General features: G+C 61.3%; 1 protein-coding gene across 1 annotated transcript in view, besides 4 other annotated features; it reads right to left on the bottom strand.

The window, feature by feature from the left end:
* The window catches only part of GNA11 (G protein subunit alpha 11), a 29,638-nt gene continuing 3,949 nt past the window's right edge, over nt 240-25,928 (bottom strand). Inside the window, exons 2-7 of the mRNA NM_002067.5 lie at nt 13,906-14,090; nt 10,755-10,909; nt 9,167-9,295; nt 5,186-5,315; nt 4,880-5,033; nt 240-3,250 (exon numbers count right to left, since the gene is read on the bottom strand). Of these exons, the coding sequence (NP_002058.2) occupies nt 3,060-3,250; nt 4,880-5,033; nt 5,186-5,315; nt 9,167-9,295; nt 10,755-10,909; nt 13,906-14,090 (944 nt within the window). The 3' untranslated portion in view covers nt 240-3,059. The remainder of the gene's footprint in view (nt 3,251-4,879; nt 5,034-5,185; nt 5,316-9,166; nt 9,296-10,754; nt 10,910-13,905; nt 14,091-25,928) is intronic.
* Nucleotides 15,863-16,364: an enhancer, noted in NCBI's record as "H3K4me1 hESC enhancer chr19:3107873-3108374 (GRCh37/hg19 assembly coordinates)". NCBI's record gives its function as "activates a minimal SCP1, AML or CMV promoter by ChIP-STARR-seq in naive H9 embryonic stem cells {active_cell/tissue: H9 hESC(naive)}" and the evidence as "EXISTENCE:reporter gene assay evidence [ECO:0000049][PMID:30033119]".
* Nucleotides 19,783-19,832: a silencer, noted in NCBI's record as "silent region_9830". NCBI's record gives its function as "represses an Ori minimal core promoter by ATAC-STARR-seq in GM12878 lymphoblastoid cells {active_cell/tissue: GM12878}" and the evidence as "EXISTENCE:reporter gene assay evidence [ECO:0000049][PMID:35858748]".
* Nucleotides 20,053-20,102: a silencer, noted in NCBI's record as "silent region_9829". NCBI's record gives its function as "represses an Ori minimal core promoter by ATAC-STARR-seq in GM12878 lymphoblastoid cells {active_cell/tissue: GM12878}" and the evidence as "EXISTENCE:reporter gene assay evidence [ECO:0000049][PMID:35858748]".
* Nucleotides 20,494-20,788: a silencer, noted in NCBI's record as "tiled region #3290; K562 Repressive non-DNase unmatched - State 23:Low". NCBI's record gives its function as "represses a minimal TATA promoter and a strong SV40 promoter by Sharpr-MPRA in K562 cells {active_cell/tissue: K562}" and the evidence as "EXISTENCE:reporter gene assay evidence [ECO:0000049][PMID:27701403]".

The raw sequence follows: 25,928 nt of genomic DNA, 5'->3' as shown, positions 1-25,928 counted from the left end.
GGCATTTCCCAAGCAGGTTGCTCTGGCCTGGTGCTAGTGAAATGAACTTGAAGTGAAGGGTCAAACAAGATGACAGGGGAGGGGCCCCGGGACACCGTGCGGAGGCACCCAGGCGGCCCCACTGAGGTCAGGCAATGCCCTAGGTAACTCCAGGGCTCCTGGGGGCCAGGCCTCTGCACACTTCCCCCCAGCCCCCTTTGAAGGACAACAGGAAATAAACCAGAAGGGGGCCGCCAGCATTTAGGAACAAAATTTATTCCAATTTAAAACAGAGTTCATTTCAGGAGAAAGATATGAAAAGTCGACTTCCATCGGTGTCTGGATTAAGGGTCAGGGCCGGTGGCTGTGGGAGGTGACACTGAGCCGCTCCTCAGCCCCTCCTCCCATCCCCAACGCGCACAACACATGCATTTCAAATGGTAAAAGGCTTAAAAACAGCTTGTATAGAATATTCTTTTTTAAATAGATTAAGGTTGAAATTGTCTGAAATCAGGACTGTGTAATATACAAGTATCACTGGGTCCCGTCCGCCAGGCCGGCCACAGGATCTGCTGCCACCACTGGGGGACATTGGCACGGGGATGCCTCCCTGGGGGAGCCGGGGGACCCAGGGCATGGGTTTGCAGTGGCCGGGGGCTGCTGCCGCCCGGGCGTAACATGGTCGGAGAAGGTGGTCGGCACTCACGAGAAATCGTTGGCAGGTGAGATTCACCAAGGTAAAAACACACACCCCACATGCCCACGTGGCCCCACACGTGGCAAGGGTGGGGGTTGGCTGTCCTTGCCCCTGGGTGCCACTGGCACGAGAACCACTGCCTGGGACTCTCCTGGGGCAGGCACCCCTGCCCTGGGCCTGCAACACCTACCTCTGCTTTTTTGGGGGGCAGGGGATCAGGCACTCAGACCCAGAGGATCCAGGCCACGACGTTTTGGCGGTCCCAGCCCGGCTCTGGGATGCTTGGCACGCCCCCTCCCTGGGAAGGCCTAATACTTAGCCCCGCAGCGCCCCGGCCTGCGTGCTGGGCGACTCCACCCTCAGGCCACGGCCAGGTCACCTTGTGCAATCTAGGCCCTCAGAGATGCCACAAGCACAGGCCCCCCAGAGGGCTCCGCTGCTGGAAAAGGTTGTAGCGGCCCTGCCAGGGGTGGCCCCATCTGCTCCCCCAGGGCACCGCCGGGCCCCAGCACTCGCCATGGGGGGCTTCTGGCACCAACCCTCTTAGGTAGACACCTGGCACAAAAAAAGGACGCTTCCGGGTGAGACAGAAGTGGTGTGGGGAAGCCGGGGGGGGGGTATCCCGCCAGCCCCGTCTCCCCATGGGGCTGATCACCAGAAATGTAGCTGCCCTGACCTGGTCTCCCCTGACCCTTCCACGGGGCTCCCCGCTCTTCTGCCCCCAGAAGCCAGCAGACAGCCCTGCGGACGAGGAGGCCAGGGCAGGCCTGACAGTGGCGGGCAGGCAGGCGGGAACTGCTGGTTGGAGTGGTCGTATTTTGGGGCTGTTTCTTTTGTCATCTGTCGAGGCCAGAAGCAGCCGTGCAGGGTCCCGGTGTGGCGGCGGGCGAAGGCAGCACAGGCGATCCATCCCTGGGACAGCTGTGCGAAGCCCGGAACCACAGGGCGCTGTAGTGTTCAGTCAACAGCAGACGAAAAAGCCACCTCCCCAAACACAGTCCCCTCGTTCCCCACCTTCCGAGTCTCTCGGGGAGAACCAGTCTCGGTGCCTCAGTGCCTCAAGGGGCCCCGGGAGGCGGCCCCCGGGGCTGTGGCTCAGTGCGGCGTGGCCTGGCGGGCTCCCCCTCGGGCCGTGGTCGTGGCCAGCCAGGCCTGGAAGCTGCCCAGGCCGGTGCCTGCCACCACCTTCCACGCGCCCCTGGCCAAAGTGCGAGTGCTGGCTTCCCGCTCCCCGGGGGCGGCGCTCGGGGGCGGGCGCAAGTGCTTGGGACAAGGCCACGCACAGAGCTGCCGGCCACGTCCCTCTCTCTGCCTCTCGGGTACACACCTGAGAATATTCTGTAAAAGTCCCCACCCACCCTCGCTGTTTCCAAATTGGTGACATCACAAAGCGGAACAAAACAGAAACGCCCCCATCCAAGTGGCCTTTCTCCCAGTGTCACCGGGGGACCATCCCTCCAGCCGCCCAGCCCACGTGGGCTCCGGTGGGGTGCGCTCTAGCCAGGGCAGGGTGGCCGTGCAGCCCTCTGGAGTCCCCGGGCAGCCCCAAGCAGCCAGTGTTGGCCCCGGAGGCACAGCCCAGAGAAGCCCCCGTGGCTCCAGCCCGGGGACCCTTCCCAGCCTCTGCAGAGGGACGGGGAACCCGGCCATGAGAGAGGGCCCAGGGTGTTTCTTCAACCTGTGAGTCAGGCGTTCTTTTTCCTCAAAAAAATAAAATAAAATAAAAGGTTAGGCACTTCCCAGGGTGGGCGACCGAGGGAGCCCCCCACCCCCTCTTCAGGAGTCCAGTGGGCAAAGCACAGCGTTGATGGGTGAAGAGGCGAGGCGCGCTGGGCGTCAATAACTTAAAAAAGGGGAAAAACGTCCGTCTCCGAGTCTCCACGCCTTTTGTGATGAAGAAAAGAAGCGGGCAGGAGAAAGAAAAAGCACGTGGGGTTGGAAGGACAGCCACGGGGGGCTGCGGTGTGGGGGCGCGTGACTGGCTGCAGGGCGGGGCCCCATGCTGGCTGGCGGGGGCTCTGTGAGGCCCAGAGTCACTGGGGGCACGGGGCGCTTGTGTGTTTTATGTTTCGTTGCTTTTTTTCTTTCTTTCTTTTTTTTTTTTTTTTAGAAAAAAGCGAGCCATAAGTCAAGGCCAGAAAAAGGCTGCCTTTGCCGTTGACAAAAGGTGAGAAGGTGCGCGAAGTGTACGGAGGGAGAGATGTACATCCCCTGATAACTGTGAAATAAAAACCATTTGTTAAAAATATGAAAAAAAAAAATCTCCTCCCGCGGGCAGAGGCCCCGGCCCGGACTCGGCAGCGCCACCCGCCCGGCAGCCGCAGGCTCCGTGGAAGGAAGGTCCTGCCCCGTGTCTCCATCCCGTCTCCCTGGGCCTGGGCGCTCAGACCAGGTTGTACTCCTTGAGGTTGAGCTGCAGGATGGTGTCCTTCACGGCCGCGAACACGAAGCGGATGTTCTCCGTGTCGGTGGCACACGTGAAGTGTGAGTAGATGATCTTGTCGCTGTCGGGGTTCAGGTCCACGAACATCTTCAGGATGAACTCCCGCGCCGCCTGGGCGTCCCGCTGGGGACCTGGGGGAGGGCAGAGGGTGAGGCTGTGCCCCAGCCCGGCCCAGGGCAAGGGACTCGTGGGCCCCTTTGTCACTCCCAGGGGATGAGCGAGTAAGGCCCACGGCCCACCCAGCTCGACCCCCAGCCCACTGCATGCCTGACGGGCCGCAGCTCCCCTCCCTCCCCAGGTGAGCTGCGGTGCCAATCCCACTGTAGCCCCAGGGCACTACTGTCACGGCCCAGGCCTCCAACCTGGGGCTCTGCACCCACCGCTGCTCCCTCTGCTCAGCCCTCTGCCGGCCTCTATCCACTCAGCTCCACAGCCACAGCCTTCCAGGGCAGGCCTCTGGCATGGCTGCCCTGCGAAGGCCCAGGGTGAGAGGAGAGGCCCCCAGGGCTGGGCACAGAGCCTACAGAGCAGGAACAGTGGCCCCCACCCACCCACGGTGCCCCTGCTGCAGCCAGGCCTCAGAGACATCCAGGGGCTCCAGCAGGGGCGCTGCTTCCCACCGGCCACCCCTGCCCCTCCACCACCCTGGACAATGCAGGCGACCCGCCCAGTAACTCCTGCCTGCCCCGGTGGAAAGGCCCCTGGGGGTGTTCAAGGGGCTGCTCTGGGGACTGGTGGGACAGGGGTCTATGCCCCAGTCCCTTGGCCTCCCCCCACCAGGGCTCTCTGAGCCCACAGGACAGGCTGCTGGGCAGGGGCCACGTGCGGCTGGAGCAGGTGCAGCGCCCCCCGCCACTCCCCTGCCCAGGGACAGCAGGGCCCTGCGCCTGCAGCCAGCGGCCGAGGCTATACCGTGTGCCAGACCCCTCCCTCTCGCTGCACATCCAGAGGCAGGGCACCCTGAGGGGCCCTCCCGAAGATGACACCCGAGACTCACGGGAGGAGCACAGATCCGGGGTGGAAATGAGGGCGCCAGAGCTGCCCAGGGCCTCACTGTGCCTGGCAGGGACAGCTCTGAGTGGTGACAGCACTAACGGCAGCCACTGACCACACAGACGAGGGCACACAACACCCTCCCCTGGCCGCCATCCCCAGGCCCAGAGAGGGCTGGGCATGTGAAGACCCTCAGTGCTCAGCTGCCCTGACACACCCCGTGGGGCAGGGGCCACGTAGGGAGGGACGGGTCCGAGGGTGGGGGCAGTAGGGCACAGAGGAGGATGCAGGGACTACCACCAAGGTCCCCACGGGGCTGCGCTGGCAGTGTGCGTGAACCCTTCCTGTGAGACCCCTCCCATATGGGATCACCTATACAGGACACCCCCATACGACAACTCCCTCCCGTACAAGACCCACCAATACAAGACTCCCCCTCCCATGGTGCCCTCCTTGTACAAGACTCCTCCCACCCGAGATCCCCCTGCCCGAGACCCCTCCCACCCGAGACCCCTCCTGTATAAGGAGTCCCTGCATTAACAGATCTCCCACGGGTATGAGACACCCGCGTCGGAGAACTCATTCCCGTACAGGCCCCCCTCATACGAGATCTCCCTTCCCTGAGACTCCACTCCCATACATGACACCTCCCATCAGACGCCCTCCCTTAGAGCTCCCGGCCTGTATGAGCCCCTCTCCCATATCAGCCCCCTCCCCCCAGTAAGGCCCTGCCCGCGAGCCCCTCCCCATGCCGCAGCCCGGCGCACCATCGAACTCGGGGAAGTAGTCCACCAGGTGCGAGTACAGGATCTTGTCCTCCAGCAGGTCCTTCTTGTTGAGGAAGAGGATGACGGAGGAGTTCTGGAACCAGGGGTAGGTGATGATGGTCCGGAACAGGGCTTTGCTCTCCTCCATCCGGTTCTGGCGGGAGCGAAGGCAGAGGGAATCAGAGGGGCCCTCCCCACTGCACACAGCCCAAGGGGCAGCTGGGGGGACCCAGGTGAGGGGACCCAGGCTTGGCAGGTGGGGAAGGCCCGGCCCCCAACGCTGCCCCTGCTCAGGGCAGGGCCCACCTCGTTGTCCGACTCCACCAGGACTTGGTCGTATTCGCTGAGGGCGACGAGAAACATGATGGATGTCACGTTCTCAAAGCAGTGGATCCACTTCCTCCGCTCCGACCGCTGGCCCCCCACATCCACCATCCTGAAAGGACACAGCGCCAGGACTCAGCCACCTGGCGCCCCAAGGCCCAATCTGCAATCCCAGGACGGCTCCCACCCAAGCCCCTCCTGCCACACCAGACTGACATCGGCTGGAGCAGGAAGAGCCCCCACTCTTAGAACGGGCAAGGACGCTCTCAGAGAGCGGCCGCACCGCCTCCAGGGGTGACCACCGCAGACCCTTCCCTCACTGGCAAAGGGGCCTGAGACCACTGGGCCCAGGGAAGCGGGCGCTAGTGTGGGGGTGTGAGAACCCAGAGGATTCTGGGCGCCAGCTGCTGCGGGAACCTGCGATGGGTGCCCAGGGACCCTACATCTGGCATCTGGATGTCACCCTGAGCACAGAAGCCTTTCCCCTCACTGGGCCAGGGACACAGATGTTCACCAAGCGTCACTCGCAGGAGTAAACACTGATGCCACAGTTGCTCCCTGCAGGGACCCTCCAGTGACGGCTGCAGAGGGCAGAGTTGCCGGTATCCTCCTGGGGCAGAAGAGCAGGCGCAGCGCCCTGCCCCGCGTGGTGAGCAGCTCAACCTCACACTCTCAGGCCACGCACAGGCGGGAGAAAGAAAATCAGCTCAGACGATGTCTGCGGGCGTGCGTTCCTTACGGGACGTTTGCCTCTTTCTACTTGTGACTTTTCTAAGTTTTCTATAACGAGAAAAGGCACTTTGGTCTCCTTGAAAGAATACAAAGGCAGAAGCGGAGAGTGCCCCTCAGGCCCTGGCCCCAGGCCCCAGGGAAGGCCGGGGTCCCTGCAACTCTGCCGAGGAGAGCGGGGCTGCTTTGGGCATGTGAGTGGTGAAATCCACCTGGTCTGGTCTGCGGGGGAGTCCAGCAGGCACCGGTGGATGACAGATGTGCCAGGTGACTCTAAGGGACAAGAGGGCCCGCACCAGCAGCTGTGGCCAGGCGGGAGGACAGTGGGTGTGCCGACACCAGGCCACAGCCCGTCTGGAGCGCGAGGCCTCTCCTGCACGCCTGCGGCGGCCGGCAGGGCTGGGATCCGGGTCCCCCCGTGTCTTGTCCCCACCTGAGGGAGCAGGAGCCTCTCCTCACGCACTGGGACGATCCCACCGGCCTTCAAGGCCTCCAGCTGCATCCCACAGCACCTGGCCGGCCCTCTGCCAGCGTGTGGTGGACAGAGGCGGCTGGCAGAGAAACAATGGTGGCAGAGGAGTAGGCTCAGGACGGGGGTCTGCACCCGGCACAGAGGGCACAGCCGGGCCGGGCGCGGTGGCTCACGCCTGTAATCCCAGCACTTTGGGAGGCCGAGGCAGGCGGATCACGAGGTCAGGAGGTCGAGACCATCCTGGCTAACATGGTGAAACCACATCTCTACTAAAAAGTACAAAAAATTAGCCAGGCGTGGTGGCGGGCGTCTATAGTCCCAGCTACTCGGGAGGCTGAGGCAGGAGAATGGCGTGAACCCGGGAGGCGGAGCTTGCAGTGAGCCCAGATTGCACAGCTGCACTCCAGCCTGGGCGACAGAGCAAGACTCCGTCTCAAAAAAAAGAAAAGGGCACAGCTGGAGCTGGGAAGGGCCTGGAAGATGGTGGAGAGGGGGTGACACACCCAGCCTGAGCTCAGCTCAGGGAGGGGACAGGACATTTCTGACAGAGGACACAGAGGCCTGCGCTGTTAAGAGGCCAGCGTGGGGCTGTGAGGGGACATTCATGCCACAACCTGGCCTATGCCTGGCTCGCCTCAGCTGTATCCTGGGGTCATGGGCCCCGTGTGAATAAAAAAGAAGAAAAACTTGAATTCTCGTAACAATATACACCATCGCCCATGTCCAGAGAGGACACCGCAGCTTCTGAGGGCCCAGCGCCTGCTCGGGTCCCCGGGAACCATCCCAGAGCTTGGCATTCCTTGGCTTGTGGCCACATTGCTCCATCCCTGCCTCCATCTTCACGCCGCATCCTCCCTGCCTGCGCTGGGAGGCCGAGCTGGGAGGACGGGTGGGGAGAACAGGCAGATGGCAGGGGGTGGCACCCCCAGCCCTGGGGTGGGTCTCAAGGCAGGGCTCTCGAGGAAAACCCCACAGACTTCCCGGAACCCTCACAATGGCCTCGGCAGTGCACCAGCTGGGTGGGGACACCCTGGCAGGGAGGCGTCATTCCCTCATGAGGGCCAGTGCCAGGGCGAGCTTGCACTGCAGGAGAAGGCACCCGCAACCGGAGCCACCGCGAGGCCCTCCAGGACAGAGCCGTCTAGCGCCCCACACGCACGAACACCAGAACCCGGGGACGGCTCTGATCTGGAAACAGGGTCTGTGCGGATGTCACTGGTTAGGATAACGTCACACAGAGGTAGGGTGGCCCTGGCCAAGGACAGGTTATAAGAGAACAGAGGCAAAGGCGCAGGCGGGGAGGACGCTGCATGAGGATGGGGGCAGGGATGAGGCAACCCGGCCACAAGCCAAGGATGCCAAGGATGCCAAGGATGCCAAGGATGCGGCCGCCACTAGGAGCCGAGTGAGGCCTGGGCAGATCCCCTCAGCCTCAGAAGGACCTGGCCCGGCCCACACCTGCATCTCAGCCTTCTGGCCTCCAGCACTGGGCGGGAATAAGGCCTGCGGTGGGAGTCTCACGCCCGACACCAGCAGCCCAGGACAGGCACGCATAAAGCCGGGACCTCAGCGCTGGAGATGTTATATGGGGCCAGGAGACAGGCAGGCAGGGTCCACGTTCCCAGGGACAGCAGAGTCCAGCCAGCTGAGCAGCCTACCAGACACAGGACCCACTGAGGGTCCCCAGGGAGAACCCGGCTCTGCTGGCCGGCCCCCAGCCACAGTGGACCTGGAGCCCCGGAGGCCCAGCAGGATCCGCAGGGGCAGCCCGTGAAGAACAGAATCCACCCCACACCACCCAGCTCCTCCACCCCAGCCTGGAGCCCTCCTCCCCACTCAGTCCCTATGACCCCTCCTCCCCTCAAAGCCTCGGTCCCCACGACCCCTCCTCCCCTCACAGCCTCGGTCCCCATGACCCCTCTTCCCTGACAGCCTCGGCCCCTATGACCCCTCCTCCCCTCACAGCCTCAGTCCCTATGACCCCTCCTCCCCACTCAGTCCCTATGACCCCTCCTCCACTCACAGCCTCGGTCCCCGTGACCCCCCCCCTCCCCTCACAGCCTCGGTCCCTATGACCCCTCCTCCCCTCACAGCCTCGGTCCCCATGAGCCCCCTCCCCTGGCAGCCTCAGTCCCTATGACCCCTCCCGCACCATGCGGCACCCCCTGCTCCGGCCAGCACTCCAGACCCCAGCCCCATGCTGGCTCCAACCAGGCCCCCGGCCCGTCCTGGAGGCCCTGTCAAATGTCCTCCCTGCCAGGTCTCTTCGGCTGCCGGTCTGGATGGATGTGGCCACGCCCCCCACACCCCCACAGCTCCTTCCCTGTGTGGCCCTGGCTCACACATACTTAGAGATAAATCTTATCCCCTGACCTGGTCAAACACACACTGAGGATGAAGACCAATGGGCTTTCTTTTGTTTAATAAGACGAAACAGGGTCTCCCTCTGTCGCCCAGGCTGGAGTCCAGTGGTGCCATCATGGCTCACTTCAGCCTCAACCTCCTGGGCTTGAGCGATCCTCCTGCCTCAGCCTCCTGAGTAGCTGGGACCACAGGTGCACACAACCACGCCCAGCTAATTTTTAAAATTTTTTTTAGATATGAGGTCTGGCTATGTTGCCCAGGGTGGTCTCAAACTCCTGGACTCAGGCGATCCTCCCGCCTTGGCCTCCCAAAGCACTGGGTGCGCAGGCATGAGCCGGCACACCGGGCAAATGAGCCTCTCAGTGCCCCCTCCCCGCCTGCTGTGGCCCGGGCGGTACCGGAAGATGATGTTCTCCAGGTCGAAAGGGTACTCGATGATGCCGGTGGTGGGCACGCGGACCCGCAGCACGTCCTGCTGGGTGGGCAGGTAGCCCAAGGTGGCGATGCGGTCAACGTCGGTCAGGTAGCTGCAACACAGCGGTGGGTGCTCAGGCCGGCTGCCGGGGGTGGGGGGGCAGGACAGGGACACAGCACCCAAACCAGCGGGAGGACGGAAAGCCACCAGGAGGGGGTGGACCGCGCACTGCGCCACCTACGGCAGTGTCTGAAGCAGCCCGGAGGGCTCGGGCCAATGGAGACCCTGGGGTCGGGATACGAGCCTCCCAACCTCTATCCTCTCTGGGGTCTCAGGGGACAGAAATGACCCAGCACAAGAGAAAGTCCCAGGACGAGGACTCCAGCTGGTTCGGGGGGTTTGTAGTAGAGCTGTCCAGAGACGGCCACCAAGGAGGGAGACGGTGACCCAGGGCAGGGGACTTCCCGAGAGAGGCCTGGCTGGCCCCAGGGATGAGGCTTCACAAACAAGCGCATCATTAGGAGAGTCGCAGCTGCAGAGGCTGCAGAGGTCCCAGCAGATCCCCGTGCCCGTCTCCCTGCTGCTCCCTGTACGTGGGTGCGGCACCCACCACGAGCAATGAGCCAGTGTCTACACAGCGCAGCTACTGAAGTCCACGCTTGATTCCGGCTTCCTTGGTTCCCCTCATGCCTTTTCCTGCCCAGCCCTCTGGGTTGGGACAGTTTCCCGTTTTTGACGCCCTGGGCAGTCCTGAGTGGGGCGCCCCTCGAGTGGTCTGCCTGGGGTGGGGGTTGTAAGAGGCCGGGTGCCTGCTCAGACCTTTCCGGCACCGCGAGGAGGCCCTGGCGTTTTGTTCCAAGTGCTTGGTTATCTGGGCCCTCCCACAACCTCCCAGAGGCAGGGAACACACAGAGGACGGGCAGGAGGGGCGGGGGACAGGCCTGTCCCTGTCGCCTTAGGGTCTCTCCCGGTGCTGGGGGAGGGCCGGGGCCTCTGCCTGCCAAGCATGGAGGGCAGCAGTGCACAGCCTGCCACGCGGGGGCCTCCACCTGCGGCCATGGCCCGGCCACCTGTCAGCACACAAGTCACCCCCTATCCCAGGCCCAGAGACTGGGAGAACCCTGACATCAGTCAAGGTCACAGCCAGTCACTAGTGGGAGACGTGGCTCTGGGGACGATGTCCCAGGCAGGAGCGAGACGGCCCAGGTTGTGTCTACCTCCCATCCCACGGCCCTCCTAGGAGACCCTGGGTTTCCCCCACAGGCCACAGGCCGGGCTCCAGCACCGAGGGTGGCCAGGAGCTCACTCCTGACCCAGGGAGGGCAGCGGCAGGGCCAGGCATACAAGCAGGCCAGTGTCACACCAGAGTCCACCGGCTCCTGCCAAGGCGTGGCCCCTCCAGGGATCTGCTCTGGTCCCTCCATCCGGCCAGGTGGCCCGGGCCCACCGCATCCCTGCCCCCGGCGAGCAGGCAGGGGGCACCACAGACGCCGCGGAGGCCTTCCCGAAGGGTCCCAGGCACCGGCCCGCAGCTGCCGTCCCCAGGCCGCCAGCGGTGCGGCCGCACTTACTACTTGGCAGAGTCGGAGAGCTGGTACTCGCGCCTGCGGTCGTAGCATTCCTGGATGCCCGGGTCCTCCCACAGGGTCTTGATGGCACTGACGTACTGATGCTCGAAGGTGGTCACCTTCTCCACGTCCACCTCCCGGATCAGGAGCGCATTGGCCTGCGAGGGCGGGCAGGGGAGACGTCGAGAGCTCGCTGGGGCCACACATCCACCAGAAAGCTTGTGACGGCCCCTCTTCCAGGCCTCGGCTGGCCCGGGCGGCATTCCGCAGGCTGTGCAGTCAGGACCACTGACAGTTCCGTGTGAACACGTGTCAGAAAAACGCGAGGCCGCCTGGCGGTGTGGTTCCTCCGAACAAGGCCCCACAAGCAAAGCCTCCCGGCGGTGCGGTCTGCAGGGTGCCGGGGAGGCCGGGCTTCGATTCACTTCTTAGAGGTGGGGAGGGGACGGTGTGGGGAACAAGCACGTGTAGAACACACACACTTCAAACCCAGGACCCACAGGAGGGCAGTGCAGCGCCGAGCACGACCAAGCACGACGACAGAACTAACCAACAGCCCCAGCACTCGCTGCCTCGAATTCTCCAGACACACCGGGAGGCAGGAAGCCCAGTCACAGGACGTTGCAACCAGCGGCATCGCCTGCAGTGTGCAGCTCCAGACTCGGTTTCTGCCCCGCCGGCTTCTCTCTTTCGTCCGAAAAATGCTTATCAAACATCATCAAGAGCAGATACCACACCCGGTGCTAAGGACGGCGTGTGGCCCCCGAGCTGCCGCACTCAACAGTTTACATGGTGCCCCAACACGAGCCGCCTCCCCCTCACGGAACCCTGGGCGGCGGGTGGCATCAGGCCCCAGCTTGCTGCCCTGTCACAAAGGAAGGCCAACCGCACAGACACGTGCTTGCACACACATGTGAACACCCTTTGGGGCAGACACTGTGGGGGGGCCATCCTTTCCCCTCCTGATGCTCTGTGTCCCCGTCCCCGGGGCGCACAGGCCGACATGACCAGCCACAGTTTGGCTGAGGGACTGGGGAGGGGACATACTGGGTGGGACCCAGATGGGAAAGAAGGGAGCCTTGCCCTGGGCTCTGGGAGCCACGGGGCCCTCCCAGGCCCCCCAGAGTGGAGACTCAGCCCTTGCTTGTCCCCTCTGAGCAACGCTCCCTGCCCCGGACTCCGACTTCAGCCCTCCCCTTGCCCTGCCCCCAGCCTCTCAATCTGGGCTGGGATAAGCACACCTAGGGGGACTTGGAAAAAGAGACACAAACCCCAAAAATCCCACTCCCTGGAAACTTCCAGATTAGACAGCAGCAATCTGCTTCTGCAGAGAGCCAGAGAGCACACCCAGCCTTCCCGACCACACGGACTGTCTCCAGCACTCGGCTCTGCTGCTGCTGCTGAAGCACCATGGGCAACATGGCAGAAATGGGTATGTGCCAATAAAACTTTATCGACAAAATCAGTCTGCAGTTTGCAGATGCGTGTTTCAGAAGCTGATGGAGATCTAAGCCCAAATATGAATATGGACTCTCAGAGAGGGCCACAGCTGGAAGAGATCACAGCGGGAGACAGGGCAAGTGGCAAACCAAGATCTAAGGGCAAGAGCCCTACCCCTGAAAGCAGGGCTACGAAAGCGGGATCAATGGCCCCTCAGCTGAAAGGCCCCAGGGAGGCCACTGGCAGGAGCCACGGCTGCACGGCTGCTGGGCCTGCCCCATAGGGCGGCCACTGGGGCAAACTCTCTGGACGCTTCTCAGAGGGCAAAGCCAGAGTCACCCTGGGACCCAGCAATTCTGCTCCCAGGCGTAGCATGCAACTGAGGGAAGGGAACACATCATCCACATAAACACACGTCCACAGACGGTCACGGCAGCTCCGTTCCCAACAGCCCACACATGAAGGCACTCAAATGTCCTCCAGGGGATAAATGGGCAAATACGCGGTCCCTCCATGCACTGGAACATGACTCAGCCATGAACAGGGACGAGGCTCTGACACAGGCCACTGTGTGGATGCACCTTGAGGACGTCACACTCAGTGAGAGACGCCGGACACAAAAGGCCACATGGCGTGCAATCCCATTTCTATGAAATGTTCAGGACAGACCGATCCACAGAGGCAGGAAGGGGATGTGTGGGTGCCGGGGCTGGAGGAGGGGGTGGGAGTGACGGCCGATGGGGAAGGGGCTTCCTTTGAGAAAATGAAATCTGGAATCCGACAGCGGTGATGGCTGCACGACTATGCAAACATATCGAAAACCACCAAATTATACACTTTAAGCAAGTGAAGTGCATAGAATGTGAATTATAACTCAATAAAGCTGTGATTTAAAAACAGGGCATCAAATGACCTCTACTTTATCAAAAAAAAAAGAAAAAAAACCAGGGCGGAGGCCAGGCATGGTGGCTCATACCTGTAATCCCAGCACTTTGGGAGGCCAAAGCGGGAGGACTGCTTGAGCCCAGGAGTTCAAGACCAGCCTGGGCAACATGGTGAAATTCCATCTCTACAAAAAATACAAAAATTAGCTAGGCGTGGTGATGCACCTGCAGTCCCAGCTACCCGGGAGGCTGTGGTGGGATCACCTGAGCCCAGAAGGTCCAGGCTGTGATGAGCCTTGACCATTCCACTGCACTCCAGCCTGGGCGACAGAGCGAGACCCTGTTTTCAAAACAAAACAAAACAAAACAAAACAAAAAAACAGTGTGAGAAGGTGAGAAGTACAGCCCCATGGGTGAGTGTCAGGGCCGAAACGAGGTGCCTGGTAGGCTGCTCAGCCTGGGGAAGGGGCCGGAACCAGGAGCTCACGCTGCTTACTCCCAAGGCGACCTGGGCGAGTGGCTCACCTCACAGGGCCTCAGCTTCCCCAGGGCCTCAGCTTCCCCACCCACAGGATGTGGGCGCCCACAGCTACTTGGGAGGGAGGCTGTGGGGCTTGGCCACGCAATGCCCATCACAACTCTCCAGTTGGCCCCCAGGAAGTCAGCGGTTGCTGTTTCCATGTCCATGACAGGAACGGATGGATGACCAGGGGTAGCCTGGGCCGGCCGGGACCCCCGGCATGGCCCCACCCTGGCAGCGCGGCCACCATGCTCACCACCAAGCCCACAGCTGCCCAGGCGCTCCCCTCCCCAGGCGCCCGCGGGCTCACCTTGTTCTGCTCGTACTTGTAGAGGATCTTGAGCGTCTCCATGGCCCGGATCATGGCCTGCATGGCGGTGAAGATGTTCTGGTAGACGAGCTTGGTGAAGCCGCGCTTGTCCTCCTCCGAGTAGCCGGCGCCGTGGATGATGCGCATCTGCTTGATGAACGTGCTCTTCCCGCTCTCGCCCGTGCCTGGGGGACGGGGCACGTGAGGGCGGGCGGCAGCCGGGGCCTGACTCTCGTGCTGCTGCCCCCTCTTACCCAGACCCTGCCGTGCTGCAGCACCCAGCACAGGAAACCAAGGCACGTGAGGCTGACCGTCTCTCCACCAGACGCCACGGCCTCCTGACTCCTCGGAAAGAGTTTACAAAGCGCCCTTCCCATCTTCCACCAAGCCAGGGTCTTACTGGAACCACCCCTTTTCCAGAAGTTCTGCAAGGACACACTTTCCTGGGGGCCAATTGTTGGTATTTACGTCAAAGACCACACGGTCTCAGGCCAAATCAAGTCGCACGGCACCGGCCCCGCAGCTGGGACTGTGCAGCTCCACCACGGTCACGCCAGTTCATGACCAATGCTCACCAGAGGGACAGCACACAGACGTGGCGGCGGTGCCCTGACAGACGGACTCACCCCAACGGCATCTCTGCACAGACCACCCCAAGGGCTGGGCGCCCCCTTCCCCAGAGCTTTGCTCAGCGGCCACGGCCACACTGCCCCCTGCGCACCAAGCACCCACGAGGCTCTCCCCTCTCCCTCTTGGTGCTGTGGCGGGGTCAGCCAGGACCGTTGTGCCTGCCACAGGTGGCCCTGAGCACATCCCTGAACCCCTTTACGTCTCCACGCCTGCCACGACCTTGCTAATACCCACAATGCTTCCAGAGACGAGTACGCTACCACCCCATCTCAGAGATGGGCACACTGATGGTCCCAGGGCCCCAGAGGATGAAAAGGATTAGCAAGTCAGCCTGGAAAAACTATCGGGAAGGGGGCCCATGTGGCCAGCTGTCGCTCCACCCCAGCCTCCAGATGAGCCCCCCACACATTCTGGGTGACATGGGGGTCCTCACTCCAGCCCCTCTCCTGCCTCTGCCTCTCACCTGGTCACCTCCTGGGCAGAGACTCCGTCTCCCCACTTTTCTTCACCCTCACACGCTGGGATGCCAATGCTGGGTTTTCCAGTGTGTCCACAAATCTCTGATGCTCATCCCTTCCATACTGGAACCTAATTCCCCTCCCCTTGAGCATGGGCTACACTTAGTGACCTGCTTCTAGCAAACAGAATGTGATGGAAGTGACAGTGTGCCATCTCCAAGGCCAGTTCACAAAAGGCACAGGCCTTCCTCCTTGCCCTCAGTCTCGGGTCAGGGGCTCTGGGGTAGGCAGCCGCCACGCTGTGAGGACCCTCAAGCAGCTTCACGGAGAGGCCCACGTGGTGAGGAACTGAGGCCTCCCACCAACAGCCACTAGAGGGAGCCAACTTGTGAGTGGCTCCTCCAGCTCCAGTCCAGCCTTCAAATGATGTGGCCCCTGCTTGGCTGGTATCCTGACTACAACTTCTGAGAGACCCCAAGCCAGGATCACTCAACAAAGTGCTCCCACATTCCCAACCCTCAGAAACTATCTGAAATAAGTTTTGTTAATTTAAGTTGCGAAGTTTTGGGGTGACCCCATTACACAGCAATAGTTAACTTCTAATTTCTAAAAAGAGACTGCCTCAACTCTCTACTCAGGTATTAACCTTGCTCAGGCCCCCGGTGCCCTAGAGACTCAAGCGTCACCGCCCCCTCCCAGCATGCCCCCAGCCCACTTCTCCAGGCTCGCCTTCACCACCCTGTGTCTCTGAATCTTCCGGCACCTCCCCACTTCCACACACGTCCTACGCTGTTGCCCTCTGCCCACAGTGCTGTTCCAATCACAGCTGCCTAAAGGCTGCCTGGTGCTGGGACCCAGCTCACTTCCTCTCACAGCCTCTGCTCTAGAAAGCCCCCAAGCCCCAACACAACTCTCCCTCCGGTACTTTCTGGAACCTTCCTTGCTGCCCATGGTAGATATCTTTGCACAGGTGCCTGTCGCAGGACCCCTCACCTGGCAGCTCCTAGAGATGAGACAGGCTGCATGTGTCCCACGGTGGCCACAGTGCTGCCTTCGGGAGGCCCTCGACAAAGCCCAGGAACTGCCCACAGCACCTGAGCTCCCTGTGGGGGGTCTCGCAAAACACCCAACACATCCCGAGTGGGGAGCCCCGGTGGCAGCTGCCTCTCCCCAGTACTTTTCTCAAACACCCTGAGTCCTTTTCAGAAGAAAGAAAATTGATTTTGATTGTCTCAGGTAGTAATCCACCTCTCAGCCCTCACCTCATCCACAAAAGGTCAAACCCACCCAAGTTCCAGGACAGGAGGAGTGAGGGTGAGTGTGAAGGTGAAAACACCTTCTCCCCAGAGGGACCCCCACACGCCCTTCCCTCACCGCGCCCTGAAGAGAAGGGCGGTGGCATGGAGGGGATGCAATCTGAGGCCAGGGATCCTCGGCCTCAGCTCTACTGACCGGTGCTGAACCCTGGGCCCTGAGGGGTGCTCAGCAGCAACCCTGGCCCCCACCCACTCCATCTCAGGAGCACCCCCCCGAATTGTGACCACCACAGATGTCCCCAGACAGTGCCAGTGTCCCATGGGTCAAGACTGCCCCCAGATGAGACTCTATGTCTAACAAAATGCTATTACAAAAGATGGCTGCTCCGTGTTTGTTTGGAAGGGTGTTTCACCTGGAAACAGCAAACACTCACACACACTGAAAGCCACACCTGACACGAGACCAGCACACACTGCAAGCCTGCACCCCAGCACAGGCCCCATGCTGCAGGCAGGAGGCGAGGAGGGCCCTGCACTCGGGTCAGAAGGCGCCGCCCCTTGGTAACTTTGCACCCAAGACACAAGGTCCCTCAGGCCATAAACATCTCAACTATGAAACAGAAAAGCAAGCCTCAGCTCTCAGCGAGGATGCCGGGAAGACCAAGACGGCCGAGAAGGAGTCTGAAACGCCACAGGTCACTGCCCAGATGAGAACTGGCTCGGTACTACTGTTTGGGGTTGTGTTTTGTTTTTTCAGATGGAGTCTTGCTCTGTTGCCCAGGCTGGAGTGCAGTGGCGCAATCTTGGCTCACTGCAAGCTCCGCCTCCCGGGCCCAAGTGTTTCTCCTGCCTCAGCCTCCCAAGTAGCTAGGACTACAGGCATGCGCCACCACGCCTGGCTAATTTTGTATTTTTAGTAGAGATGGTGTTTCTCCATGTTGGTTAGGCTGGTGTCAAATTCCTCACCTCAGGTGATCTACCTGCCTCAGCTTCCCAAAGCGCTGGGATTACAGGCGTGAGCCACCGCGCCCGGCCTGTTTTGCGTTTTGTAAGGAAGGCAAAAATGACAACCACAGCCCTGGCTCGCCAAGGACCCCCATGGAGCTCTGCAGAGGCAATATGGATACACTGATGGGGGAGGGAGGTGGCTCACACCTATGCACCCAGGCATGCACACATACATATGCATTAACGTGCATATATGCACACAATGCACACGTGCACACCCACACATACATGTATGCATGCATGTACATCAGCACACACGTGCATGGTGCACGCACACATGCATGTACATGTACACACACATGCAGCCCGTACACAGCTGGGTGGCTGGCATGTTAACCCATGTGCACCACTCCCGCTGGGTGAAGCCACTCGTGTCTCCCACATAACCCACCAAAGCCAGGAGAGGTTGCAGAGGGAGGCAGGAGCCCAGCAGGAGTTCTGGGCCACCGGAAGCCAAGCCAGGCCCAGGTGGCCCCGGGCCTCTGGTGGCCCTGAGGTGCTGGCCACTGTTAAGCCCTGCCGTACAGAGGCCAAGGGCGAGGCTCTGGACAGCACTCAAGCCAGGCAACGTGACTACATTTGGGTTTTCAAGATGCTTTGGTCCCAGCCTGCTTTTCAAATCGCCCTGTCTCCCCGCGCCAACTCAGCTGCTGCCGCCTCCCGTCACACAGCGTCTTGGAGCTGGGACGCAGGGGTCCACACACAGTGGACCCAATGTCTGAATGCCTGGGTCCTGCCTGAGACCTCACACCCCGCGGCTGGGGCTCAACATCCAGGGCCCTGGTCAGCAGAGACTCGCTCCCACCCGACCGGCAGCCATGTGGCCCCAAAGCCACAGCCCCAACTCGGGCCTCAGCCCACATGGCTCCACCCTGACCCAGCCTGCCCCACCTGCAGCCACACTCCACCTGAAAGACATCTGAGCTGGAACGCTCTTTTGGCTCCAAAATCTTCAACAGCTGCCCACTGGAAAGAAATGCCAGCCCACTCCTCCTGAGACAATGTGTGAGCCCCTCCGAGATGCCGCCTCACTCTGGACTCGTCCACAGCCCCTTGCCGGCCCTCATCTCCCGGTCTCAGGCCACTGCAGGGCACCTGCCAGGACAGAGCCTTCTGTCCACTCCTCACCGCACACCAAGCACCACGGCAGCTTTACTCGTAAAAGCCAAAAAGCCAAAGCTCCAGAGACCCTTCAGCAGGTGCACGGGTGCAAAGACCCCACGCACAGACCGCTGCTCGGCGCTGGGCAGGAATGGACCACTGACCACACCGCCACCCCAAGGGCAACGCACCAAGTGGTCCCACCCATAGCAATGAATGTCTGTGATCCCCCCAAATTCCTATGTTAAAATTCTCACCCCTAAGACAGTGGTGTTGGGAGGCGGGATCAGCTTCTTCCGCCACGGAGCTCTTGGGGGGCTCTTTCATGAGGGCACTGATGGTTCCAGGAGGGATCCCGTCCGCATGAGGACACAGCAAGAAGGCACCGCTGTCTATGAACCAGGAAACACAACCACCCCCTACACCAAATCCACAGCGCCGCTGTCTATGTACCAGGAAGCACAACCCCCCCTTCCCCCCAACCCCCCAAATCCACAGAACCTTGATCTTGGACGTCCAGCCTCCAGAACCATGAGACAAACTCGGGTAGTTTACAAGCCACTGTGCCTGCAGTATTGTCACAGCAGCCCGAGCTGACTGAGACGGTGACAAAATGTTAGGAAAAGAGAACACTGCAGGAAGCCAGGGATCCAGCCAGGGGTCCGGCCATGAAAGGGCAGCTGGGAGGGTCCTGCAGGACAGATGCTGCCTGGCCCCTGCCTGTGGCAGGGGAGCACGCACTCCACGGGTGACGAGTCAAACCCAACTTCACATGCACCCCTCCCACCCTCCCTCCCTGCCACGAGGCCACACCCACCACCGGTCCCGCTGTGAGACCCCCAGGTTCCTGCCTCAGACTGGGTCTGGAGCTGGTGAGCTCAGCCTCCCAGGAGGCCGTCGTGGGCACTGGCAGCTGTGTGCGACCCTTGCTTCAGCACCAGAGTTAAATATAAACTACCCCTTCCATCAGGTCCTTCCCCTTCCCAAACGCCCGGAGAACCCCCACTGCAGAAATCCAAGAGCCCGGCGTTCAGGAAGCGCCCAGCACCCCCACAGCACAGGCCCTTTGAGGGTGGCTCTGCCATTCCCTCCTCAGTGAGGTGTGGCAGTGCCCGTCTGCAGCCTGCCTCGCCAGCTTCCTGAGCGCAGGGGCTGTGGCTGCCCTGCCCACCTGCATCCCTAGCCCCTATGCAGAAGGCGCTGTGTACATGTTTCCTGAGCGAACCAAATGAACCTGGCCCTGGTCCACAGTGCTGGATCCCTCATGTCCCCATTGGGTCCCCCGCACTCCAGTGCCCGTCAGGATGGACCTGACTGCATGTCACCAGCCATGGCTCCTGGGAGAATGGGGCCCACATCTCCCACACCTGAGGGAGCCCCCCACACAACCACAAGCAAGGTGCTTTGCCTGTGCAAGCATGGTTCCTGGTGGGCCTGCCACAGGCCGCCCCACAGTGGACCCCAGACGCTAGGGAGCCTGCAGGAGGTACATCCTCAGGTACACTCAGCACGCCACCACTAGGAGGGGCCAGAGTCCGCCCACTGCTCCCACTGAGCCAGCTTCCAGAGGAGAAAACCACCCTCCCGACTGGACCCGCTGGCCAAGATCTGGAGAGGCCAACCAGGAGGAACGAAGTCCGTGCCCCAGCTTCCTTTTCCCCGGTGGGAAAGGAAAACGGAAGAAAAGGAGGCTCCAAGCGCCACAAGAGGGCGCAGCCCTGACAGCAGGAGCTGGGGGCTCATCCGATGCTCAAGATTCAAAGCCGGGCGCGGTGGCTCACGCCTGTAATCCCAGCACTTTGAGGCCGAGGCAGGTGGATCATTTGAGGTCAGGAGTTCAAGACCAGCCTAGCCAACATGGTGAAACCCCGTCTCTACCAAAAAATTTACAAAAATGGCCAGGCATGGTGGCTCACACCTGTAATCCCGGCACTTTGGGAGGCCAAGGTGGGCGGATCACGAGGTCAGGAGATCGAGACCATCCTGGCTAACACGGTGAAACCGCGTCTCCACTAAAACTACAAAAAATTAGCCGGGCATGGTGGCAGGCGCCTGAAAGCTGAGGCAGGAGAATGGCGTGAATCAGGAGGCGGAGCTTGTGGTGAGCTGAGATCGTGCCACTGCACTCCAGCCTAGGCGACAGAGCAAGACTCTTGTCTCAAAAAAAAAAAATTTACAAAAAAAAAAATTAGCTGGGTGTGGCAGTGGGCGCTTGTAATCCCAGCTACTCAGGAGGCTGAGGCAGGAGAAACGCTTGAACCCAAGAGACAGAGGTGAGCAAACATTCTACCACTGCACTCCAGCCTGGGTGACAAGTGAGACCTTGTCTCAAAAAAAAAAAAAAAAAAAAAAAAAAAAAAAGATTCAAGGCCGGGCGCAGTGGCTCACGCCTGTAATCCCAGCACTTTGGGAGGCCAAGGCAAGCGGATCACCTGAGGTCAGAAGTTGGAGACCAGCCTGGCCAACATAGTGAAACCACATCTCCACTAAAAATACAAAAATTAGCCGGGTGTGGTGGCATGCGCCTGTAATCCCAGCTTCTCGGGAGGCTGAGGCAGGAGAATCACTTGAACCAGGAGGCAGAGGTTGCAGTGAGCCAAGACTGCACCACTGCACTCCAGCCTGGGCAACAGAGTGAGACTCTCTCTCAAAAATAAATAAATAAATAAATAAATAACAAATAAAAAGTATATAAAGATTCAAGTAACCCATGACCCCAGTGGCAGGGCTGAGACCTGGGAGCCGACACCTGGGAGTCAGACTTCCAGGGTTCCAGGCTGCTTCCCGTCTACGACGCCTGAGCCGAGCCCCACAGTGCCCAAGACTGTGAGATGTGGGCCGAGAAGCCAGGAAGCCCCCACCAGGCTGCGGGGAGGCCAGGCCAGTGCACACACCGGGAGCAAGGCCAGAGCCACAGGGCCCCACCTGGGGGATACACATGACCGTTTGTCAGCACCCATGAGAAGGCGGGTGGTGGCAGCCCACGCGTGTGCATGCGTGTGCCTGTGATCTTGGCTCTTGGAAACAGCCAGGAAATCTAACCCTGACCAAGAGCTGTACTGGTGGGTGTGGGGTCAGAGCCAGGCACCAACCTGACGCAGGGGCCCGAGGAGGGGCAGCCCTCCTGCAGCGGAGGACGGACGCCCCTCATCCAGCTTCACAAGGGGCCTCATGCCTGCTTCGCTTCAGTCTCAGAACCCCAGGAGGTAGACAGCACCTCAGCGCCTGATTGACTGGAGGGGAAACTGAGGCACGGAGAGGACAAGCTGCCTCCCTGAAGTCACACGACCCCTAATGGCAGGGCCTGAAGAGACTTCGGTCTCCTGGCTCCGCAGCTTATCCCCGGCAGGCAGCCCAGGACGTGCTCTTCTGCTCCAGCACGCACCCTCAGGCAGGGAGGCAAGAAGACAAGGGGGCGCCCTGAGAGAGGAAGTGCACCCGGCTCACCCCGCTGCTGAGGCTCAAGAAAGAGCTGCCCCGAAACTCACTACCCCAGGTGGGGCATGACAGCCAGGGGCAGCGATGGCAGGACAGCCTCTGGACTGGAACCCAATCCCATCTCCACAGCAGCAGAGTCCCCAGGTGCCTCAAAGGTGCAGATACTAACTGCCCCTCGCCGGTCAGGGGCCATGCCACCTTGTTCTGTTCCCACTGAGGCTTCCGTGCAGACTGGCTCCCAAGTGGGAGTGACCCCACCCCTCCACTGGAAGCGGATGGTGTCACTCACTCATGTTTTCTACGTTTTTTTTTTGTTTGTTTTGTTTTGTTTGTTTGTTTGTTTTTGAGACAGAACCTCTCCCTCGGTCGCCCAGGCTGGAGTGCAGTGGTGCAATCTCGGCTCACTGCAACCTCTGCCTCCTGGACTCAAGTGATCCTCCCACCTTAGCCACCCAGGTAGCTGGGACTACAGGTGCACATCACCAAGTCTGGCTAATTTTTTGCATTTTTAGTAGAGACAGGGGTCTCGTCATGTTGCCCAGGCTGGTCTCGAACTCCTGGACTTGAGTGATCTGCCTGACTCGGCCTCTCAAAGTACTTGGATTACAGGCATGAGCCACCGCACCTGGCCATACAAAATTTCTAAGCTCCCGTCTCCTCACGTGCTGGGTCTTCCCACAGCCATTACTGAAGCCCCCCGACAGCCTGGGAGACTGGTCCCCAGCCTTGTGCAGCCCATCTAACCCAGTTGTGGGCACTGGCCTGGACATCTCCACCTGAGGGACAGGGACAGACCCCCGCCCCTGCCCAGCTCACTGACCATCGCCAAAGAGTGTGGGATAGGATCACTGATGGGGGAAGGGCAGGAGTCCGGAGCCCAGGCCCCCTCTCCAGACATCTACCCAGGCCACCAGCAAGGGCCTGACCGGTCAACCCTCGCCGCATCCAGTGGGACTAAGGCCGAGCAAACCAGTGTGGCTGGAGAAAAGGCTGCTTCATTCATCCCACAGCGTGGACCCGGCCCCACAGTCCCTGGGGGCTGCATTCATCCCACAGCGTGGACCCAGCCCCACCACAGCCGTGGGGGCTGCACTCATCCCACAGTGTGGACCTGGCCCCACAGTCCCTGGGGATTAAGACAGGCAACAGAACAGCCACATCTCTGCAGGCCGCACAAGTCCCGCTCGGTGGCGGGGCCCAGCACCCATCAGTGTGGACACGGTTAACAATAGCAACAGACACAGCGCCCTCCAGTTTGACCACACCCTTCAGCCCCCCACCCCACTCCGTCCCTGCAGGGCCCCTGAAACATCAGGGTGACCACACAGTTTGACAGAAGAGAAAACGGAGCCTGGGCCACCGGACGGTGCGGTACCCAGAACACCAACTCCGAGGTCAGACAGGGACAGAAACCTGGGCCAGCACCGTCCCTCCTGGAGCCTCCCAGGCCTTGGGGTCCCCATGTGGACGCCATCCAGGGAGCACCACCGCCCAGGGTTACTCCGCAGCTTTTCGGTGCAAAGCAGCCAGCAGGAAGGGCAGCCACAGGGGACAAGAGGGCTCCCTCCCCGCTGTCTGCCGCACTGGCCTCAGCTCATTTAATCCTTCCACAATCCTACAGGGGGAGGGACAGCCTTCCCACGTGACCGATGGGGAAACTGAGGCCGGGAGAGGGAAGTGACTCGCCCCTGGCTCCCTCCAGAGTGTGCCCCCACTGCCCCGTGCTGGCCAGCCCAGGGCAGCCCAGGCCACAGGCAGGACTCAGAAAGAAGCTTCTGAGAGCCAGCTGCGCACTGTCCCCGGAGACCCCTTCTGCCCAGTGCACAGGCCCACAGGCAGGTGGCAACCGAGCCTGCCCCAGCAGAGACCCCTGGCGTGCACCAGACCAGCCTGCAGGGCATTGGGGAGGTGTCGGGCCACTCCTCTCCACTTCCCTGCGTGATCTGCCTTCAGTCAGCCAATGACGGTCACTCGCCAAGCATCTCTGAGACCTGCACAGCTCAATGACATGGGCAGGGAAGCAGGGGACCAAGGACACGCAGCTGACGATGGCGACGAGAAGGGAAGGGGGCTGCTAAGACACACGGGTCAGGGGTCCTGCTCCCAGGGACACTAGGCGATGTCTGGGGACTTCTGTGGTTGTCACAACTTGGGGGTGCTCCTGGTCTGGTGTGGGTGGAGGCCAGGGACGCTGCTCAGTACCCTGCAGTGCCCAAGACAGCTCCACCCCAGAGAACGATCCAGTGTAAAACACCCACGGAGCCGAGGCTGGGGAATCCTGATCAAGGTGTCTGTGGGCAGATCCCAGATCCCAGATCCCAGGGCAGGATCCCCCATGGAGCAGTTTCTCAGAGCACCCAATGTGTGCCACACACGCCAGGTGCTGTGGACGCGACAAGATATCACCACACCGGCAGCGGAAGCAGCAGCCAGCATTCCGTGGGTCCCCACGTGCGGCAGGATGGGGATCACCACCGAGTCCTCACCCCACCGCCCCCTGAGGAAACTGAGGCACAGACCTGAAGTCCCACAGTTACAAGAGGCAGAGGTAGGCTCTGAACCTGAGTCTCCCCAGGCCACGTACCTGATCCGGACACCACACTGCTCCCAGGCCCTGCAGGTGGCCCGAAGACCCACCCACCAGTGCTGTCCTGAAAGCGCCTGTCGGCAGACTGCGGGAGGCCAGGCTGGACCAGGAACCCCCACAGCAGAGACCATCGGAGGCTTCTGACCCAGAGGCAGGGAGTGGGGATGGAGGGTGGGAGACTGGACCACAGACATCTTGATGGCAGGGGAGGGATGTGGCCAGGCCCAGATGACAGCGAGAGTCTGGATCCAGGGCAGCCAATTCTAAGACCTGCCAGGTGCCCTACAGATGACAGACATGGTGGGAGGCCCCCCGGGCGGGATGCTCCACACAGGGCCTGGCGGCAGGAGCTACATGCACCTGCAACCACCTGCACGCCAGCAAACCGGCACTTAGGATCCCGGTTCTGCGAAAGGACTTAATTTCTGCCAGATAATGACCCTGCACGTGGGCCTTCCCAGAGCCCCTGGCCGCCCCTAATCGCATCCACCGCTCTCAGTCACCCAGGTGGGCAAGCCATACAAGGCTTCCCATCCTCCACGCACAAGCTGGGGTGCCCAGTGGGGAGAACACAGCCCTGCTGGGGACCCAGAAGGGGCGCTGGGTCCCAGCTGTCTACAGGGTAGGGCCGAGCAGGCCCCGCGAGCGCCCCTCTAAGATCCGTCCGACTCCACCACACACCTCTCCAACCTCCTGATGCCACGGCGTCCTCCCCGTGCTGCCCAGGGTCCAGGTCCCAGACAGAGACAGGCTCCACCACAAGACTCAGAAAGTGAAACCTCTCGTGGTTAAATCTCGGAGGAAAGCACTTCCTCCACTCTCACTACAGCACCGGCAGAGCCGGGCAGGAGGCTCGGGAGGAAGCTCCACGGAGCTCACAGCTGTGGAACGGAGCTTCCCGGACCATGCCCGGGAAAAGCAGACCCTTTCAGCCACAATCATCATAACTGATTACATGTAAACACAAAGGACGTGAGAGCAGGCCCGGACCAAGTCCCCACGTCTCCCTGGCCTGGGCTCGGGCTTGGGAAGTCAAGGTTGGACGAGGCCATCCAAGGGCGCTTCCTGCTCCCAGAGTCTTCTGGGACACGGCACAGCCACCCTGCCAGGCGCCAGAGGCCACGCTCCACGCCTCCCAACACTGGGCCAACAGAGGCCCGGCCCTTCCCGTGGGGCCACCGCACCCCATGCTGGATCCCGGGCCTTGTCACTGCCCCGTGGGGGCTGGCGCAGGCCGGACAGGAAGCCTCCGGAACTAACCATCCTGCTTTATTTAGAAAGCCTGGAGCCACTCCGGCTCAGCCTCGCTAGCAGCCTCAGGCCCTGGGAACAGGCATTCCCATGGAAGTCCCCACGTTTCCAACCACAAACCTGCCACAAAGAACTATACGGGGGTCCCCTCCACAGTTTACCAGTGAGACGGAAACCTAACAGCCGAGGGCTGCCCGTGATAGGCAGAAGCCCAGCGGGCCTGGGGAATGGGAACCCAGATCCAAGAGCTGCTGGCAGGGCCTGCAAGAGCTCTCCAGGCCACAGGGCGGACCC

Source organism: Homo sapiens, chromosome 19 (assembly GCF_000001405.40).
Source record: "Homo sapiens chromosome 19, GRCh38.p14 Primary Assembly".
In the NCBI taxonomy this organism is placed as follows: domain Eukaryota; kingdom Metazoa; phylum Chordata; class Mammalia; order Primates; family Hominidae; genus Homo; species Homo sapiens.
The sequence above is the reverse complement of the archived record's forward strand: the minus strand, read 5'-3'. Positions and strand labels throughout refer to the sequence as shown.